This window comes from Homo sapiens, chromosome 18 (genome assembly GCF_000001405.40).
Source record: "Homo sapiens chromosome 18, GRCh38.p14 Primary Assembly".
Taxonomy (NCBI): Eukaryota; Metazoa; Chordata; class Mammalia; order Primates; family Hominidae; genus Homo; species Homo sapiens.
Window position 1 is genome coordinate 15313479 of NC_000018.10, and position 20179 is coordinate 15333657.

The 20179-nt window shown below is 39.2% G+C and overlaps 2 pseudogenes across 1 annotated transcript; both read right to left on the minus strand.

Annotated features, from left to right (window-relative positions):
* Positions 1–77: 77 nt before the first annotated feature.
* On the minus strand, positions 78–16785 carry LOC644669 (ankyrin repeat domain 30B pseudogene; annotated as a pseudogene). The gene is made up of 7 exons (NR_027417.2): positions 16588–16785; positions 12415–12529; positions 12183–12252; positions 9778–9884; positions 6026–6090; positions 2021–3287; positions 78–638 (listed from the first exon to the last, which is right to left on the minus strand). The product of NR_027417.2 is annotated as an ankyrin repeat domain 30B pseudogene (transcript).
* On the minus strand, positions 7362–7466 carry RNU6-721P (RNA, U6 small nuclear 721, pseudogene; annotated as a pseudogene).
* Positions 16786–20179: the final 3394 nt, after the last annotated feature.

The window sequence follows — 20179 nt, forward strand, 5'->3', positions numbered from 1 at the left end:
TTGCCCTTCCCCACTCTCAGTTCTGGGATTCTTTGATTTTACTCCCCCATGCTATTTAGATGGCCTGGTAGACAAGAGCCTTGATCCTCCCAGTGGAGGCTTGGGTCCTTTAAAGGAGGGTTTGGAACCTTTACAGTTTCTGGCCCACTGGAAGCTCTGTTTAGGGGTACATGGGTTTGGAGCCATCTGTTGGAAGGTGAATAACATAAGTTTTGTCTTTTGTTTTTGCTTTTCTTCGTCTCTCTTCACAGATACTTTTTGAGTCTCTCTGAGGTTCACTTGAGGTCACTTCACTTGAGGTTCACGTCTCATTGAAGTTCACTTGAAGTCAGTTTTCCCAATCTTCTAATTTTTGTAACTTTTTTGAAATATCTGGACAATGTTGGCCAGGTACAGTGGCTCATGCCTGTAATCCCAGCACTTTGAGAGGCTGAGGTGGGTGGATCACGAGGTCAGGAGATTGAGACCATCCTGGTTAACACGGAGAAACCCCGTCTCTACTAAAAATACAAAAAATTTGCTGGGCGTGGTGGTAGGCGCCTGTAGTTCCAGCTACTCGGGAGGCTGAGGCAGGAGAATGGAGTGAACCTGGGAGGCGGAGCTTGCAGTGAATCAAGATCGCACCATTGCACTCCAGCCTGTGTGACAGAGAGAGACTCCATCTCAAAAAAATAAAAAGAGACATCTGGACAACTTTTAGTGACAAAAATGGAGATTTAACATTCCCTGTCCCAGGGGATTTTCCAAATTTAGGCCTGCATATTTTCTCATTTGCTCCTTTAGTCTGTCTAAGAATTTCATAGTCCACTCATCTCTCTCCTGTTATATATCAAATGCTTTAGAGAGATTCTGAATTTAGGGTACTGATTTCCTAGTTTCTTTCATTATCATTTCCCTTATGTCTTGCATGTTTTCTTGGTGAGCTGCTTTATTATTATCCCACCGAGGATCTTGGGCAGGGAATTTTTGGTCCGTGGTAGGAACGTTTTGACAAGGAGTGTGTTCATATTCCCAAATTGCCATAGCAGCCCTATGGATCAGATCATGCTTCCTTCCTCCTCCGAAAAGAGGATGCCTAGGATGGACATAAACTTGACCAAAGTGTATAACTGAGGTCCCAAGAATTGATCAACCTGATCTGCCACCTCATAAGGGTCGTCTAACAATGGCTTAATTTCCTTTTTCAAACTTCAGACTTCTGAACTGGTCAAGGGAGCATTCACAAATACAATGGCTCCTCCTCCTTGTGGCATGTCTTTTAAGGGGAAGAGAGTTGGGGCCGACTCTTTAGATGTGGAGGGAAAAGGGAAGCTCTGAACGTCCTTTTTACATTGCTGTACCTCATGATGGAGTCCCTTTAGGGAGAGGTATTTAAGCTGACAGGGGACAGGCTCATGGGATGATAACTCCCAAGAATTAGAGTTGTAAGGAGGAGTAACAGCGTGAGCAGGAGAAGGATCTGGGGTGGGAGATGGGGTGGCAGCAGCTGCCCGAGGGGAAGGGTCAGAGGCACTGAGCAGAGCAAAATGGTATAGGGGATCCCATGTGCTGGCTTTAGGTGTGGGAGTCAGCTCGTCTGACTTTTCAATTTGAGATACTGGATCGGGTTCTTCCCTAGTTGTCTTTACGGGAATAAAGACAGGTCCCTGTCTCCAACAAAGAGCATAGTCTAGTTCTTCTTGAGAAACCAGATTTTTATCATTAACATATTGAATTAGAAGTTGACATATTACATTCTCAATCGGCCCAAACTTTGGCCAGAAGATTGAGTGTTTGAAAATGGGAACTTGGGTCCAAATGAAACAGCAATATTTTATCCTCTAATGCTTTTTCTTATGTTTAGTACTCTCATTATCCTTCCAATATTTTAACATGAGACCCAGGGGACTATCAGGGGCATGTCTTTGTTACTATCCTCTTCTTTTTTGCTCCCTATCTTACTTGGGTCTTTTCCCATGTTAGGTCCTGGTTAGGCTCAATCCCGCATGCTAGAGATTTCTTCCCTATCCTTTATCCCCACCTGCTGGAGGCTCCTCGCACCCTTCTTTCACTTCATCCACTCTGGCTGCTTCCCTCCCAGGAATTTTAGGTCCCTCTTAGCATTGGCATCATGGTATAAACCCCACAGCAAGATCTGCCCTGAGCCCTATGAGGATACAGTGAATTCCTCTCCAAAGGTTTTTTATTCAAATAAAAAACCGCAGTTAGGACCCACTCACTCCTCACAGCAATAATGCTTAGTATCATCCACACAAAGAGCACCACAAGCAGTAGTGCTTGTGATCATTCACACACACTTTCAACCTCCAGAATATCCCAACCACCAAGGAAATACTTTGTCACCCCTGCGACATTTCTTACCTCGGTCTGTGCACAGTTACCTGGTCGCCACGGTATGTGAAGATCCTTTCCCCAAAGTTGCTGGTCTGTTTCTTTCCACGTTGCTGAGAGCCCGGATTTATTAATCGCACCAGTTGAGTCTTGATTCCTTACCTTTATGGCCACTGCAACGAGGCAGCGGGGTGCGCCTCCTCAAGGGAGAGGACTGGACCCTCCCCCAGAGGAGAATGGGAATGCTGGGTGGGCCCTCAAATTTGTGGAAAATAATTTTCGTTGCCGCAAAGAACCGTCAGCACTCCAGCAACAAGTTTTTACAGCAAGGCAAATTTACTTCTATGGAAGAGTGGTCTTGCAGATGGAGCAAAGGCAAGATCACACCAGACAAGGGAGGGGAAAGTGTTCTTATTTCTAACTCAGCTAGTCCCTACTGTTGTGTCTTTTCCCTATTGGATAGGGTTGGACTGCACACTCTAAGCCAATTCAGATTGGCTATTTCAAAGAGGGCAGGGGTATGAGCTGGAGTGGCAGGGTGAGTAGTTTCAGTGGGAAAGACAGTTACAGAGCAGGTGTCTAAGGATGACTAAGGACAGAGCAGGTTACTAAGAATGACTAAAGACAAAGCAGGTGTTAGAGGCTAGAAGGGGGTTGTTTAATGAAACTAGGGGCAAGGAGGCATAACGAACGAGGAAGTTAAACTTTAAAACGGAGAACAAAGAACAGAGAAGCTGAACATACTGACATATTTGTTCTTTGATGAGGAACTCAGAACTCATTGTACTTAATCTTCCCCCTCTTGAATTTTAAAGGATATTTACAGGCTAAAATCTTTGAAGAGGAATTCACTGTATCCTATTCATCAGGTGTTCTTTCCACCAAGCTTTCAGCCGTGTCAGGTGTTCTTTCTGCCAAGGGTGCAGCCTCATCAAGTGTTCCTTCAGATGTTCCTTCTGCCAAACACACAGTCTGGTTAAATTTTCCTTCTGCTAAATATCATCCTTCTGACTCTTTACCTGGAAAACTTCTACTCATTCAGCTTGCTTTCCTTAAATACTACCAAACTTTTGTTTTCTCCTTTTTTTTTGTTTTTTTTTTTTGAGACAAGAGCCTCGCTCTGTTGCCCAGGCTGGAGTGCAGTGGCACGATCTCAGCAGATCACTGCAACCTCCGCCTCCTGGGTTCATGAAATTCTCCTACCTCAGCCTCCCATGTAGCTGGTATTACATATGCATGCCACCCAGGCCCAGCTAATTTTTTGTATTTAGTAGAGATGGGATTTCACCATGTTAGTCAGGGTGGTCCCAAACTCCTGTGCTCAAGCAATCCGCCCGCTTTGGCCTTCCAAAGTGCTAGGATTACAGGAGTGAGTCACCGCTCCTGGACACTACCAAACTTTTTAAAGCTTTAATTCTTCACGTTGGATATAAAATGTCTGACACATACTGAATATGGTAATGACATAATAAGTGATAATTATAAGCTCCCAAAGGGGTTCTGGCACAGAGGAAGCACTAAATAAAGTAGTAAATAATAAAAAAGATGATAATAACAAGAAAAATGCTTAGTACCTTAATAAAGTAGTAAATAATAAAAAATGACAATGATAATAACAAGAAAGATGCTTAGTACCTTAAAGATACCTGACAGTTATTTGTTAAGTGGACAAGTGGATAAACAAATAGAAAACATAGTTAGGAAATTCTGTTGGAAAAATGAAGAAATTCAATAGCGACAGCTCTATTGTATTATGAGCACCTTAAAGACCCAGACTATGTGTATTCCATGTTGGTCTCCTGCAACTTGCAAAATCTAACTTACAGAAGTCCTTTGATAAATATGTAATAAATTAAAGATGTGTTCATACAGTTCATATTGTACAATGTATTGTGTCACATTTAGGTATCACAGTAGCACTTTTGCTATTGTGAAAATTTTTTCCACTTTTATTATAATTCGTTGAGCCTAGAGTTGAGCTAGTTGTATATTTATAATGATAATATTTTGGCTAGTAGGAACAGAGTAACTTGTTGTAACAAAATTACTATTAACACACTAATTATCCAGCAGATAGAACAACACATCTTGTTCTAATGAAGTAAATATATCTTATTTGGTTTCAACTTAGAGGGAATGAAGTTGATAATAGTGAGACCTTGTTGGTACAAGACTTTGTAACATAACCTGTGCTTCTCAACAAAGAATTGCTTTTCTGACTTCTGCACTCAGTAGGTATCTTTGAAAAATAATCTCCTATTGGTACTGATGCACCCTTGCTAAGTTATGTTAATTCTTATTGACATTCATTTATGGTGCAAGAAAAGTATTATTGAGTTCCAAATTCTAAAGATAGTTACTTTTTTAGTGACGAAAGTCACTATGCCACACAGTTGATCTTTGAATAAGGGTTCTCACTCTAGGAGCCCACTAATAGACAGATTTTTTCTTTTCCTTTGTCACTGCAAGATACTAAGACAAATCTCGCCTCTGCCTCCTCCTTATCAGCCTACTCAACATAAAGGCAATGAGAATGAAGTCCTTTATGTATAATAATTCACTTCCATCTAATAAATAGCGAATATATTTCTTCCTCTTTATAACAGTTTCTTTTCTCCAGCTCACTTTATTCTAAGAATACAGTATATAGTACATATAAAATAGAAACTATGGGTTAATTGACTGCTTATGCTTTCACCTTTTTTCAGGCTCCAGGTCAACAGTAGAATGTTGTAGAGTTTTGGAAGAGTCAAAAGAAACAGATTTTCCTATAAAGCAGATTTTCAGCTGCATGGGGGGATCAGCACCCTAACTCTCATGTTGCTCAATACTCAACTGTAATTAATTCTAATTTTCTAAATGCAAATCATTTATTGTAAAAATTAAATAAAGCCCAGAAATTCAAGACCAGCCTGGGCAACATAAGGAGACCATGTCTCTACAATAAAGAAACAAACAAATAAATTATTTATTTGTTTATTTAACAAATAAACATTTTATATGTTTATGTTTAATAAACAAACAAATAATTATGTATTTGTTTATTTAACAAATAAACATTTTATATGTTTGTTTATGTTTAATAAACAAATATTTGTTTATTTAACAGTTTAACTGTGTTCCTTTATAGGTTATAATATTCAAATGTTGCAGTTTTCTGTTATTAATTCCTACTTTTCATTATTAGAAGTTCTATTATTTGTGGCTTGTAATTCAAGGCACCTAAGCTATTTTATAATTTGTAATAAAATTTATTTATAAATATAATAATTCATTAAATTGGATAAGCTGATAATCCCCTATTACTGAGCTCATCAATCACACCAAGGATTATACATTTTATAACAAGCATAAATTTTTATGACAGTTGAGGAAACATACAACAGATAAACTTAAAAATTGTTTTACTTATTTATACAAAAGTATTATATAGGATATTAGGGACCACTATTAAACAAATATTTTTTCAGATAATATTTTTGAGATTATAAACTACCTATAACTAAATTCTTAATGAATTCTGAATTATAAACTAAAAAATTAAATCAAAGCTTTGTATATAAAATAACACATATAGGTCTATATGTAAACACATGCTACTTACACATTGCTTTTCTAATAGCTCTTTTGTGATTAACACTCCTATAATCTTATGGTAGCACCACCAAGAGTAGTTTACTATCAGAGGTCTTACCTGGATTACTATTTTGAGAATTTTTAGATATCTTTTGTTTATATTCCAAAAGTTGTTGATGAATGCTATGTATAAAAATGAAATAAATAAAATCACTATTTTAACATTGATATAAAAAAATTTACCAAATTTATTACATTCTTAGAGTATTTCAGACAATATTAGAACTAACATCAGAACATTACTTTTTCCATAGACTTTAAGTTTGTAAGCTCTATGAACTTATTAAGCTTCTAATTAAAGAAGAAAGAAAGATAAAACACTCATGAAGTGAGGGCAGTATAACTCAGTAAATTAACTAAAGTTAGCTTGACATATGGAAAATGTCCTTAACTCGGAATAAGTCCTAGCATGGCTACCAACAGGTATTTTTTCTTGAACAAGTTGCTTCTCTTAGACTCAATGTCTTCTAAAAATGAGGATTTTAGGGCCTTATTTCACTAGGTTATTATAAAGATTTAACAAGATAACATTTTAAAAATGCTTAAAATAAAAAATGAAGCAAAAAAATTATTTGTTCTTGAAACTTATTGCTGAAACAATTTAAAATTCCCAATAAAACCCAATATATTGGCCTGGTGCAGTGGCTCGTGCTTGTGAGGCAAGCACTTTTGGATGCTGAGACAGGAGGATTGCTTGAATCCAGAAGTTCAAGACCAGCCTGGGCAACATAGGGAGACCATGTGTCAACAAAAATTAAATTACAAAAAAAAACAAAAACAAAAAAATGTTTTTCTTCATAGGTTATAATATTCAAATATTGCAATTTTCTGTTATTAATTCCTACTTTTGGATATTAGATGTTCTATTCTTTGTGGCTTGTAATTCAGAGCATCTAAGCTATTTTATATTTTGTAATGAAATTTATTTATAAATATATTAAATCATTAAATCAGATAACCTAATTATACTCTATTACTGAGCTCATCAGTCACACCAAGGGCAGAAAACTAATAGATGTCAGCATCTGGCTTGGACTACTACTACTCTTCATCTACCTCCTTAAACTCTGAACCAACAAATCTTTGTTAGAATGATGCTTAGTCACTATGTTCATTTCCAGCTGCTGTGGAAGACAAAACCCTACCTTTATTTTTTGTAAGTTCCACAAAGAAGATGCAAGTTGGTATTTTCTCATTTCTGAGATCCCTACTAACAAAATATTGCACACAAGATCCTATGTGTTACCACAACTCATTTCATAGATCACCTTACGTAAATAATTTCTTGTATGAAAATCACAATTGCAATACTGGGTGTCACCCATTTTGCTTTGACTCACACCATTTCCTTGGAGCTAGTTAGAAAGTAGTAAAATGTCCTTTTGGGGACTGCAAGAAATATGCAACACCTTACAGATTTCTATGTCATCCTTGTGCGGGGACCATGCTGATCTTCTCAACGTTCTTAATTTTACTATATGTACCACTGAAGCCAGCACAAATCCTTACTTTTATATGTGAAGACTGATCAGTGATGGATGAGGCTTAGCTCTGTTAAATCTAACCAACTTACTTGAGATTTAGTGAAGTCTATTGAATGGCTTCATGGTGATGCAGCATTTGAAAATATTTTAGAAACTCGAGGTGGAGATGTAAGTAGCATGGGAGATTTTTACTTTTAGGAAAAAAGAATCACGTGAGGGGACAACCACAAGTTGGAACCCACTACAACTTGGGAAAGATGACATGGGATTTTATAGAATAAGATGAGACCTTCCACTACCTACAAAATGGTGCTACACAGGATATAAAGGGCCAGGGATATAGATCTGGTAACAAAGACAAAATGGATCTCTAATTTCTTCCTGTAACATTATTTCAACCTGACTTACAGTTTCAAACTACCACAACTAATATTGGCTAGAGAAAATAGAAAAAAGCCACTCAAAGGATAACTTACCATGAAGGTCTAGGCCATGTCCAGGCTAAGATGTGGGTTTCACATCAGGTTTTGAGTGTGAGGAGAAGGGTCCATTTGCTCACTATGTGTGTGGCTAAAGCTAAAAGTTCTAGCTGCCAGAGTGGGGTGCTGGTACTTTGGAAACAATGGCTGAGAATATGTACGTGAACTTTAAAAACATGTCATAACTTGGAAGTCTATACCATGAAGACTGAGGAATCTGTGTTAGTAAGGGCATCCTGGTCACAAAGGTCAATCATTACCAGACTGCAGGAGCAGTTTCAATGGCAACGATGCAGCAACAGAATCAATGGAAACAGCAAAATGAAGAGAATGGCCATTTCCCACCCCCCAATCCTTCTGACTTGTACAAAAGGAATGTCTTCCTTGGACTTAGGTTCAGATTCTTTTTAAAAATTCAAGAATGAAGGTATGGAAGACAACCCCCTGGGGACACTATCAGGTTTTCTGCCTAAAGTGGACATTTTGAGACCCAAATAACTAATTAGAAAAACCAAAATTTTGACATTATATTTATCCCATGCATAGGGGTTATACTTCAAATCAAGTAGACAACATTAGCGTCCCTAAAGCCCTAAAATAAAGAATCCTGGAGCCATTAATCTTTCTAACTAGTCTAGCTTTTTGCCTAGTTTCTGGCTGATGAAGTGAACTAACTCACTGTCATTCAAAAACTACCTGAAACAAACTATAAAATCTCACCTAGCCTTTAAATGTAAACACTTAGAGATTAAATCCACAAGCAACAGCATAACGTTCTGCAATCATTCCACATGTAGCTTCAGCACAGATGTCAACATTTTGCTGAAGAACCATGCCAACTATCTCTGATGATCCATGACATATGGCAAGCATGAGGGCTGTGCTAAAATAACAGAGATAACTTCATTATTAGGAAGGAACCAATTTAATATGTGCCTGTCAGTATAGAATTAACCATTTACATGTATTAACAAATGTTAAGTATCTTGAGTGCTCAAGTGTTTATCCTTGTAAATCATGACCAAGGCTAAAAGGAAGGGGTGAAAAGACTCATGTCTCACTGGGATATGGCATAGTAGAATTGGCTAACATAAAGTCCACTGAGGGGCAAGAAAATATGTTCTGTTCACTAATCTAAAAGAGGCAAAGTTTTAAGTGAAGAATTATCTATTTCCTCCTTAGTCTGATATAATATTTTGTACTTCAAAATTAGCTAGAAGTTGGACAAGTGAGAGCAATCTGAAGACTTAAAACAATATTAGGAATAATATTGTCCTGAGTACCTGGGACTACAGGCTTGTGCCACAATGGTTGGCTAATTTTTATATTTTTCATTGAGATGGGGTTTTACCATGTTGGCTAGGCTGGTCTTGAACTCCTGGCCTCAGGTGATCTACCCACTTGGCCTCCCAAAGTGCTGGGATAACAGACAACAGCTACCATACCCAGAAAATATTGCATTTTTAAAAAGTGTATGAAAAACAGAAGTTAGTAAAATACTATAAAGGTGTTAATAATTCAATATTGAATTATAAAGTAAACTAAAAATTTATACTTCTTAAAACTAATACAGAACCACTTTAGCTAATAGAAGATAATTCAACCAAAAACATCAGATTACAAATAAGAATCAGTCAATATAATAAAAGAAGAAAATCCTACTGTATACTGTTCTTTGTGTTGACCAGTCCAAATAATTGCTTTTCTTCCTAACTGATAATTTGTGTTGGTATTTTTCTGTATAATCTAATAATTTTAAGTAAATGTTATTAATTTAATATTTCTGACTTGAGTGTTATTACTCTAGCACACTACTCAAGTGTTTTTTAATAAAAAAACTACTATACCATTTAAACTTATCAACTGCAATTGCATTTGCATTTTTTGTCAGTAAAAATTCCACAATTTGCTCACTTCTTTTCCTTATGGCCAATAAAAGTGGTGTGTGGCCAGCCTGTAAAACAGCAAAAACAATTTATAATTCATGAAATTACATATTTCTCAGCTCAATTGAATACCTTATATAATATCCTATGAACTTAAACAATGGAAAGTAAATCAATAGCAATCCCTTCTTTCTCACTTTTCTGTGCTTTCCCATGCACTGCACCTTCTCTTGTAAACATTCAGCCTCTGCATCACCACATTAACTCTGGTTATCTCCAAAAATCATTACATTGTAATGATTTTATTGTTTCCCATGTAAACCAAGAGCTTCTTGAGGGCAGGGGCTGTATCTTTTACCTCTCTATCCTTAAACCCTAAGACATAGTAGTAAATACTTTATTTTTTACTAAATTAGTAATCTAAATTATTACCTCTAGAACAGTGTTTCTTCAACTTTATTCCAAAGAATAATTACCTTACCAGAAGCACTGTACCCCAATAGATTCCACCATTATCTATGTTCAAGAAATGTTATAAAACTGTGAATTAAATGTTCATTATTCAAGAAATGAATTGAACTTTACCTAATTCTTATTTGACAGTATATTTTTGTGGCAAACATTAACATTTGACAAATTAGAATTTCAGGGATGCAGTTTTGAAAGCTTCCCCCCAAAAATGGAGGTTTCCTCTGGGTGATACAGACTCACTTGATTCTCTTCTATCAATGATCCCAAGATTCCAAATGCCAATGTCAGGCACTCCTGCTCTAAATGAGTCACTAAGGAAGTGGCTCTAAATTAAAAGAGATTGGCTTCAAATGAACTTTGATTGCTTATTCTTAAATGGTCCATGGGGTTTATCCTATTACCAGACAATAGGATTTTATCTCAGCTATTAGAAATTCAGTATAAAAGGCCAGGCAAAGTGGTTCATGCCTGTAATCCCAGCACTTTGAGAGGCCAAGGCGGGCAGATCACAAGGTCAGGAGATCGAGACCATCGTGGTCAACATGGTGAAAGCCCATCTCTGCTAAAAATACAAAAAATTTAGCTGGGCGTGGTGGCACATGCCTGTGTCCCAGCTACTCAGGAGGCTGAGGCAGGAGAATCGCTTGAACCAGGGAGGTAAAGATTGCAGTGAGCCGAGATCACACCACTGCACTCCAGCCTGGTGACAGAGCAAGGCTCTGTCTCAAAAAAAAAAGAAAAAGAAAAAAAGAAAAGAAATTCAGTATAAAAGTTTATTCTCTATTATAATGATACTCCTAGGATCCTAATGCATATCTACTTCTTAAAATTCAATAATCCATTTTTATTCTGGTTTCTATTGTAATTGATACTATTTTTTGGCAAAATATCAGAAGTATGAATAAAATGGCTTATTAATGAAAGTTCTAACTCATGTATGTGGCTTAGCAAAATAGAAGCCACTAAATCACTTGACTTTTAAGGGACAATTCTGTGGAGAAAGATATAATATTTTTTCTGCAATATGCATAACCTATTCAAATATAACCATGATTAATCTAAAAAGGCTTAAAGGCCTTCTAATAGAAGATGATTATTTATGGTTTATATGAAGAAAAATCATCATTTAAAAAATATTCTAAATTCTAGAAGACAACCCCATTATTAATGAATTAATGTAAAATATAAACTACATATTATAAACACCTATAAACTGTCTTCAATAACTTGAAATCTTTACCAAAATGTACTATGAGAGAGGAATTGATAACTGAAATATTTACAGAGGCAAAATAGGTAAGTTGAATAAGTGATGTAACTAGGTGGGCACAGTAGCAAACTGGAAACATATGCTTTATGTAAAACTAGAATGTCTTCATAGTATACCAAACAGTTATACGGGCTCAAGATTCAATCCTTTAAGAGGAAATCCAGATTTCTGCATGTCTCCTAAATTTTACATGTTGACTCAATTTATGCAGGCAAATTTTACTTTCTTGTAGTTTTACACTAACTGGAAAGAAAAAAAAAACTTGGGTGGGAAAGAATATTTGAAAATGTTTTACCTTTAACAAATTTAAATATTTATCATAATGCACAGAAAAGCCATACTAATAGTTCTTGTAAAAATATTAATATTTAAAGCAAAATCCTAGACAATTAAGTTTTGTCAAACTATTTTCATAGAAAAATAGGAATGTTTGAGCTTCCAAATATAAAACAATTTACATATGTTAATGTTAAAACAAACGGATTTCAAATATTTTGAAAATAACATTGGTTAATGTCTACCTTGTTCTTCAATTCAATGTCTGCACCACAGGACAGCAATTTTGCCACCACTGACAAATTCTCACTGTTAACAGCATAATGGACAGCTGTGTTGCCATACACACCTACAATATTTGGATCAGCACCAGAATCTATGAGAATATTTGCACAAGCCTCCCTCTGGCATTGCAGAGCCTGTCAGTATTAAAGCAAGAAGTAAATTATAAATTATAGGAAATATAAATAAATATTCCACAGGTTTCACAAACTAGTTATATTTCAATGAGATAAATTCATTTTTATTCTACGTATTTAAACCACATCCATCTCCTGCTGAAAGAACTGGCTACCATTTACCTTCATCAGAGTTGTCCTGTTTTCACCATCAAGGACGTCAAGCTGGTACTTTCTATCTGCCAGAAGTGTTACTACTTCTGCATGGCCATTGGCACAGGCCCAGTGTAGAGCAGTCCTACGAGAGTGAGAAGCCTTTTAAGGAAAGTTTAGTCCACTGTCTCAAAACATAGAATGATTTATGTAATTGTCAACATTAAATACCATGCTCTTTCTCTGCCTTCAAAACAAATATTTAATATTCTCCTGAAGAAACTACAACATTCATTCACTGTTATTACTCACTACATTAATGAAAGAGTGGCCTATTTGAATAGAAAGAGCTTGGCCTTTGGATTCAGTTCAACTTGGGCTTGAATATTACTTTAAAGTCTTTCACCTTCTAGCTATCACTTAACCTTTCTGTGCCTCAATTTTCTCATCAATAAAGTGAAGATGAATACAGCAGTTATCTCACAGGACATCACTGTGATGCCTCATGAGAATCTGTGCAATGTATTTCGAAGAATTCCTAGCACATGTAACAGCTCAGTAATTGATAGATATTGTAATTATTTCTACTACTTAACAAAGAAAACATTTTAAGTTAAATGGTACAATTATGCCTACTTTGTGGTATGTTTTAAAGGTTAGAGATAAAACTATTTTAATAATTCTAAGATACTCTATTTCTCATATTTTAACATCTCTGACATTGAAATGCCACTTATAAGTCATTCTTTGTTACAAGTATATTTTGCAGAAATTTAAACGATCTTTTATTGGTACATAAATAAGGAGGCATCACACCATTCACCGTGCCTTCCATGAAGTGGAATATGGTATATACAACAGGATGATGGCAGTTGTAGTCATAGGATTAACACTTAAAGAAATTTTAGCTTTTAAGAGTGCTATACAAAAGGAGAGTTGAAATAAAAACAAACTGTTAAAACAAAGTACTTCTTTAATATTTTTAAAACTTCAAGCCAAAGAAAACTTGGGATTCAAGTAGGTATGGCTCATTTTATTCCATGTTTAGATTTACAGAATGTATGTAAATTCATATTTAAATTTATAGAATGCATGTAAATTAGGTATTTCCAATGATTAATATTACTATTTAAAGCTGTTATAAATTTCCAAAATCGTGGTTGGTAGTTATCTTTTACTAGTTTCTTACTTCAGAAGTGTTTTTGTTTTAAAGATGAGAGGAAAAGCTTCAATTGAGATTCATTCCTAGTACTCCAACTTTAAATCTCTCACTTTGCTAAGGCTGAGCAGGTAAATGCGAAATTTTTAAGGATGAAAGGATCTTGAGAGTTAATGTATCTTCTACATAATAGGCATTCAGCTTACATGTGATAAATTGATTAAAAGGATAAATACAGTTGAAAAGTTCAATACCTTAAAAAAACTGCTATAAATAAAGCACTTATATTTTCTATTTTATTTTCTTAATAATAAAACTACACTAATTAATCTATAATTATTGACATATATGTAAGAAATCTATATATAATAAAAATATGTGCCTAATAAGATGTATATGTAAATCAACAAGCACAGGTAAAAAGACTGTCTTTTGAAGATGTTAAAAGTTCACAGAATATACTAATCCACAAAAAATAATAATTAAAATATGGAAAGTGAGAAATTATTTTTATTGGTGCAAAATTATATCCCTGCTCTTCCCAAAAATTATTTCATTAATAATAAACTTTTTCTAATAGCATTGTACATGCTCAATGTGGAAATCAAAGATAATAAAAAGGAAAAACATTTTATATTAAAACAAATGCCCTCAAATAACAAATGTTATCATATTTCATACACAACTTCAGATAACGCAAGACTGTAGTCTGTGTGTATGTATAATCAAAGTGAACTTTACCCTCACTTGATACACCAAAATACATTTTCAAATGTCACCTACTTCTCTACATATTTCTACCTTTAGTGGTCACATATTATCCCATGCTGTAAATTCACTGAAATGTATTTATAAAAGTCATTATATGGATTCTTCTTAATAATATGGTACTTACCACCAAATTGTCTATTTGAAAAGGTATCTGCAACTTAAACTTTAAACAGCAGTATAAATATCACTGCTCTTTATCCTCACAAACTTTGTAGATAGAAAGCAGTATTTGATTCCTCTTTTAACTTAAATGCCTTCTGTAACCAGGAACACTAAATATTGTTTTCTGCGTGCATAGGTCACTTACAGATCTTAAGAAAATACTTTCCAAATTTTAAATTAGAAGCAAAGTACTATTTTTAGATCTGCAATTTAGATCTCTAATTTAAATTGCTCAATTTTAAATTAGAGGGTTTTTTTGTTGATTTAAGTGAATTATCTATAAAATGATGATTTAAAAATCTAATATGTATACACACACCCACATACATGTGTAGTAAATATTTTACAAGTATGCTGCCTTTTATTTTTTCTCATTACAGTTTAATTTAATTTTGTTTTGCTTAATTATCCTTCAGACTGCTTGCTTCTGAGCTTCTTAGAAAGGTGTTGTCAACATAAAAATGTACCTGTGTAAATAGGCATTTATGTTTTCTTCTGGTGCTTTTATCATTTTGTATATTCCGTCAGAAATTTACTTTGTGGCATAAAAATCTAGTTTTCTCCAAAAAGCAGGCATTTCACTTATGAAACTAATTCTTTCCCTACTAGTATAAAGTGTGAGCATTATCAAATTCTGAATTCTTAGATATTTGGGTGTTTCTGGATTTTCTACTGTGTTGTATTCATTTACCTGTCTTTTCAGCTGTTATCAAATAATTTGTGATTCATTTATTTATTTTTGAGACAGAGTCTCACTGTCGCCCAGGCTGGAGTGCAGTGATGGGATCTCAGCTCACTGCAACCTCTGCCTCCCAGTTTCAAGCGATTCTCCCTCCTCAGCCTCCCGAGTAGATGGGCTTACAGGCTCCGGACATCATGCCTGGCTAATTTTTGTATTTTTGTAGAGTTGGGGTTTCACTATATTGGCCAGGCTAGTCTTGAACTCCTGACCTCAGGTGATCCACCCGCCTCGGCCACCCGAAGTGCTGGGACTACAGGCATGAGCCACCACGTCTGGCCCTTTTTTTTTTTTTTTTTTTTTCAAATTTTATTTATTTATTTATTTATTATTATTTTGAGACGGAGTCTCACTCTGTCACCCAGGCTGGAGTGCAGTGGTGCGATCTCGGCTCACTCCAAGCTCTGCCTTCCAGGTTCACACCATTTCTACTGACAGCCTCCCAAGTAGCTGGGACTACAGGCGCCCCCCACCACGCCCGGCTAATTTTTTGTATTTTTAGTAGAGACCGTGTTAGCCAGGATGGTCTTGATCTCCTGACCTCGTGATCCACCCACCTCGGCCTCCCAAAGTGCTGGGATTACAGGCATGATCCACCGCGCCTGGCCATGGCCCATTTTGTGCAAATTAATAGCACATTTTGAAATCTAGAAGGGCAAGACTTTTCTACTCCGTTACAAAATTTGTTAAATGTCATCACAATAGTAAAAGACAGCGTGTGTAATTTTAAAAATGTTAAAACGTTGATAACTTTATTTGGTTTATGTAAAACTGATAAAGAACTTGCATCTTCAGAAAAATGAGTCTTCTTAAATTCGAAAACATAAACCATCTTCCCACCTCAAAGTTACCTTCTAAGGTCCCTCAGCAAAGAATATATTTACATAGACATTCATTGATATTGAAATGGATACTGGACTTTATCCAAAAAATTTTTAGCCAAGAAGTTAATATATTATGGAATTATTTCATTATGCACCATTTCATAATGTATCTAACATTATCTTTTAAAACCTGTACATTAAAAGTAAAACCCTGTATGTACTTAATTTTGTAAGTTAAATCACTTTAAAAGTCTCTACACAGTGCTCTATGAGAGGAAGTGGGAGTGAAGGAGAAAGCAGCTAACTAAAGTTTGGGGTTGATTTTAAGGTGGCCTGTGCCCTCCGCCCTGCAGGGCGCCCCATCCAAGGCCTGGGGGCCTTCCCGGGAAGAAGATCAAGACCTCGGGGGCCAGGACGGCCGCCCCGCTGCCCGCCACTCCTCCACCTGCTCCCCTCGTCCCCAGGACCCCCAGCCCCCACTCTGAAGGGGCGATCCTCCCACAGCCTCCTCCTCCTCCTGCAGCCCCGGCTCAGGCAGGGCCTGGTACCTCTTCTTCGCATCTCTTATGTTCAGGTCCATTGTCGTCTTCTTCATCATCCTCTCCAGCTTCCAGGCTTGGCCCGGGAGGCAGCTTTGTGGATCTTCCTGAGATCCCCATGGTGAATCACGTAAGAGTCGTTGTTGGTGTAGAACAGCTGACTGAAGGGGCTTGGGCGCTCTGGGCCCGTCTGGCCCTTGACAGCGGTGGCACAGAGCCTCTCCATGGCTGCAGCCACCTGCTAGAGAGAGCCCGTGCCTCCCGCTGCTCGCCCTTCCCCAGTCCCCGCCACTCGCCCTTCCCCAGTCCCCGCCGCTCGCCCTTGCCCTTCTTCAGTCCCTGCACCCGCCCTGACACGACTAGAAATCTCAGTCGGCCAAGCTTTTGGACACTCCAGCCTCTCCCGGGAGAAAATGGCTGCCCAAAACCGTTAGGCAGCTGAGCAGAACCGTTAGGCAACAGCACATGCGCAACTCAGCAGACCTGGGAGACACGCGAGGCAGGAAACCGCCCTGGCTGCGCTTCGCCCAGCACGGCGTGCAGGTGGCACCTGCCACTGAGGCGCTATCGGGCTGGCGGGGCTCCTTGCAGCGGAACGTGGGGGGCTCCCTGCCACATAGCCTGCTTGACAGAGCCGCCCCTGGCCCCTCCTCAACCTGAGATCCAGGAGCTGGGCCCTGGCGCTGGGCATCGTGCAGCCTCCAGGGTGGCGCTGAGTGTCGGTTCCCGGCCTCCTGCAGCCAGGGACCCAACCCCTGACTGAGGCGCCCTGGAGGCTTCTGGCCCAAGTATCCGCGTGGCTGGTGGCGCTGGCAGGGTCAGGGTTGCAGCCTCTCCTGCCGCGTGCCGTGTTCAGGTGGCAGCTGCAGCTGAGCCCATGGTAGAGGCTATAGGGCTGGGCCCAGACCGCTGAGCATCGCCGAGTACATCGCCCTTCCACCCGGGGCTCTGCTCTTCCTCGGCTCGCGCTGGCAGCGCAGGCTTGCGACCACTGGGCCCTGTACAGCTGCGGCGACGAGGCTTTGCGGCAGGTTCCCACGATCCGGCAACTGAGGTCCCACTGCCTGACTTAGGCGCAGTGGCGGTGTCCGACCCTGGGGTTCGCCTGCTGGTGGCGCGGACAGGTTCTGGGGTTGCCACCGCTGCTGCCACCTTCAAATGCCAGCTGCAGCTGAGCCCATGGTAGAGGCTGCAGGGCTGGGCCCAACGGCCTAAGGGTAGCCGTGTGGCACACGCCCTCCCACTCTAGGCCCTGCTCTTCCTTGGCTCGCGCCCTGAGCGCTGGTTTGCAGGCTCTGGGCACTGTGCAGTCACCAGGATACGGCTGAGCAGCAGGTTCAGCGCCGCCTGGGCCCAGAGGGGAAGAGGGGAGTTTGGGGTTGCTTGGCCATATTTGCCTGTGTGCCAAGTGCAGGTAGCGGCAACAGTTCTGACAGGCACGGATGGCGGGTCCCGTTTAGAGGGCTTCAAGGTTCCTGAGAGCGCCCGCTGCCAGGCCTCAGGATCCCTTCCTCGTTGACCAGCGTCTGGAGTATGGCAGTGGCGCTGGGTCATCTGCAGCCATCCTGGATGGGGCTGAGCTGCAGTTCTCACCCTTGGACTGAGAGGGAAACTCGGCTGAGTGGAGCAGATGGAGAAACAGTTAAATTGAACTTATCTATAAAGACTTCCAGGCTGGGTGCAGGACCTCATGTCTGTACTTACAGCACTTTGGGAGACCGAGATAGGAGGATCACTTGATCCCAGGAGTTTGAGACCACCTTAGACAACACAGGGAAACTTTATCTCTATAAAAATAAAACCAATCAGCCAGGCATGGTGGTGCATGCCTGTGGCCCCAGCTACTTGGGAGATTGATTGTGGCAGGATCACTTGGGCCTGGGAGTTCGTGGGTACAGTAAACTGATTGTGCCACAAACAAGGAATGAGAGGTCCTGTTGCTCCCCATCCTTGACAGCATTTGACCTTTTCAGTCTTCTGGATTTTGGTTATTGTTTGATTGTTTGTGCCGCTGCACTCCAAGCCTGGGCAACAGAGACTCTCTCTCAAAATAAATAAATAAAAGACTTCTAGTCACTATATCTTATCTATGTCGAATTGTTTACACATCTGGCTTGAAGAGTTAAAACTCACAGCACCCTCTGATTATGTGATAGGGACCATGTGATTAAAGTGGGTGACCATGTTCTTGCCTCCAGGGGGCCCAAGTCAAGGGATGGTTCCCCAGCTGCAGGAGGGTGGGAATGGATGCTCAGCACCATCCCGGAGGCTACACAATGCCCAGCCCCAGGGCCCAACTCCTGGATCCCGGATCATGAACAAAAACCCAAGAATTGAAGACTTGAGTGTTAGATATGCTCATTTCTGCTGGGATATCATTCGTTCTAGACCGTCTTAGTTTACAGAGCAAAGAAATAAATGTGTGTATACAAAGCTGTGTATACACATAACTATAAATATTTCTAAATGTAATATGTATAAGTGTTAGTTCATACTGATGTCTACGACTCAATTCTTTTATCACATGATCATTCTGGCCTTCTCCCCTTGCTTACATGTAACCTCCCACTTTCATAGTGAGAAACCAGGCTCCTGTCATTTGTCATCCATTTGCTTAACTGTCTAGTTCCAATATACATTTATTCTCTATCAATATCAGAATCGCTATCCCATTTCCTGTAGGACACAGCTATACCAACCAGATCACATGAGTTGTTTGCAGTTTCTCTTCCTTTCAGTCTTCATGCATTTTCTTTGTTTCTTTTTCTTTTTCTTTTTCTTTTTTAAGATGGAGTTTTGCTCTTCTTGCCCAGGCTGAGGCTGGAGTGCAGTGGCGTGATCTCGGCTCACTGCAACCTCTACTTCCCAGGTTCAAGTGATTTTCCTGCCTCAGCCTCCTGAGTAGCTGGGATTACAGGCACCCGCCATCATGCCCAGCTAATTTTTGTCTTTTTAGTAGAGATGGGGTTTCACCATTTTGGCCAGGCTGGTCTCAAACTCCCAGCCTCAGGTGATCTGCCCACCTTGGCCTCCCAAAGTGCTGGGATTACAGGTGTGAGCCACCACAGAAGGCCCATCCATTTTCTAAGATGCTTATGTCAGCACGTTTTTCCCACTCCCTAGAGTGAAGTGGCTTTATACATTTGTAGTACTTTAGATTTTCTATCACATTCTGCATTCCATCCCAGGATCCCCAGAACACCTACTTTGTTGTTGTTGTTTTTTTAAAATTTACATATATTAAGTGACACTCTTTGTGCTGTGAGATTCTTTGTTTCTTAACAAATGCAGGCCGGGTGCAGTGGCTCACGCCTGTAATCCCAGCACTTTGGGAGGCCGAGGTGGGCAGATCACAAGGGCAGGACATGGAGACCATCCTGGCTACACGGTGAAACCCCGTCTCTACTAAAAATACAAAAACAAAATTAGCCGGGCGTGGTGGCAGGCACCTGTAGTCCCAGCTACTCGGGAGGCTGAGGCGTGAGAATGGCGTGAATCCGGGTTGCAGAGCTTGCAGTGAGCCGAGATCGTGCCACTGCACTCCAGCCTGGCCGACAGAGCAGACTCCGTCTCAAAAAAAAAAAAAAAAAAAAAGAACGCA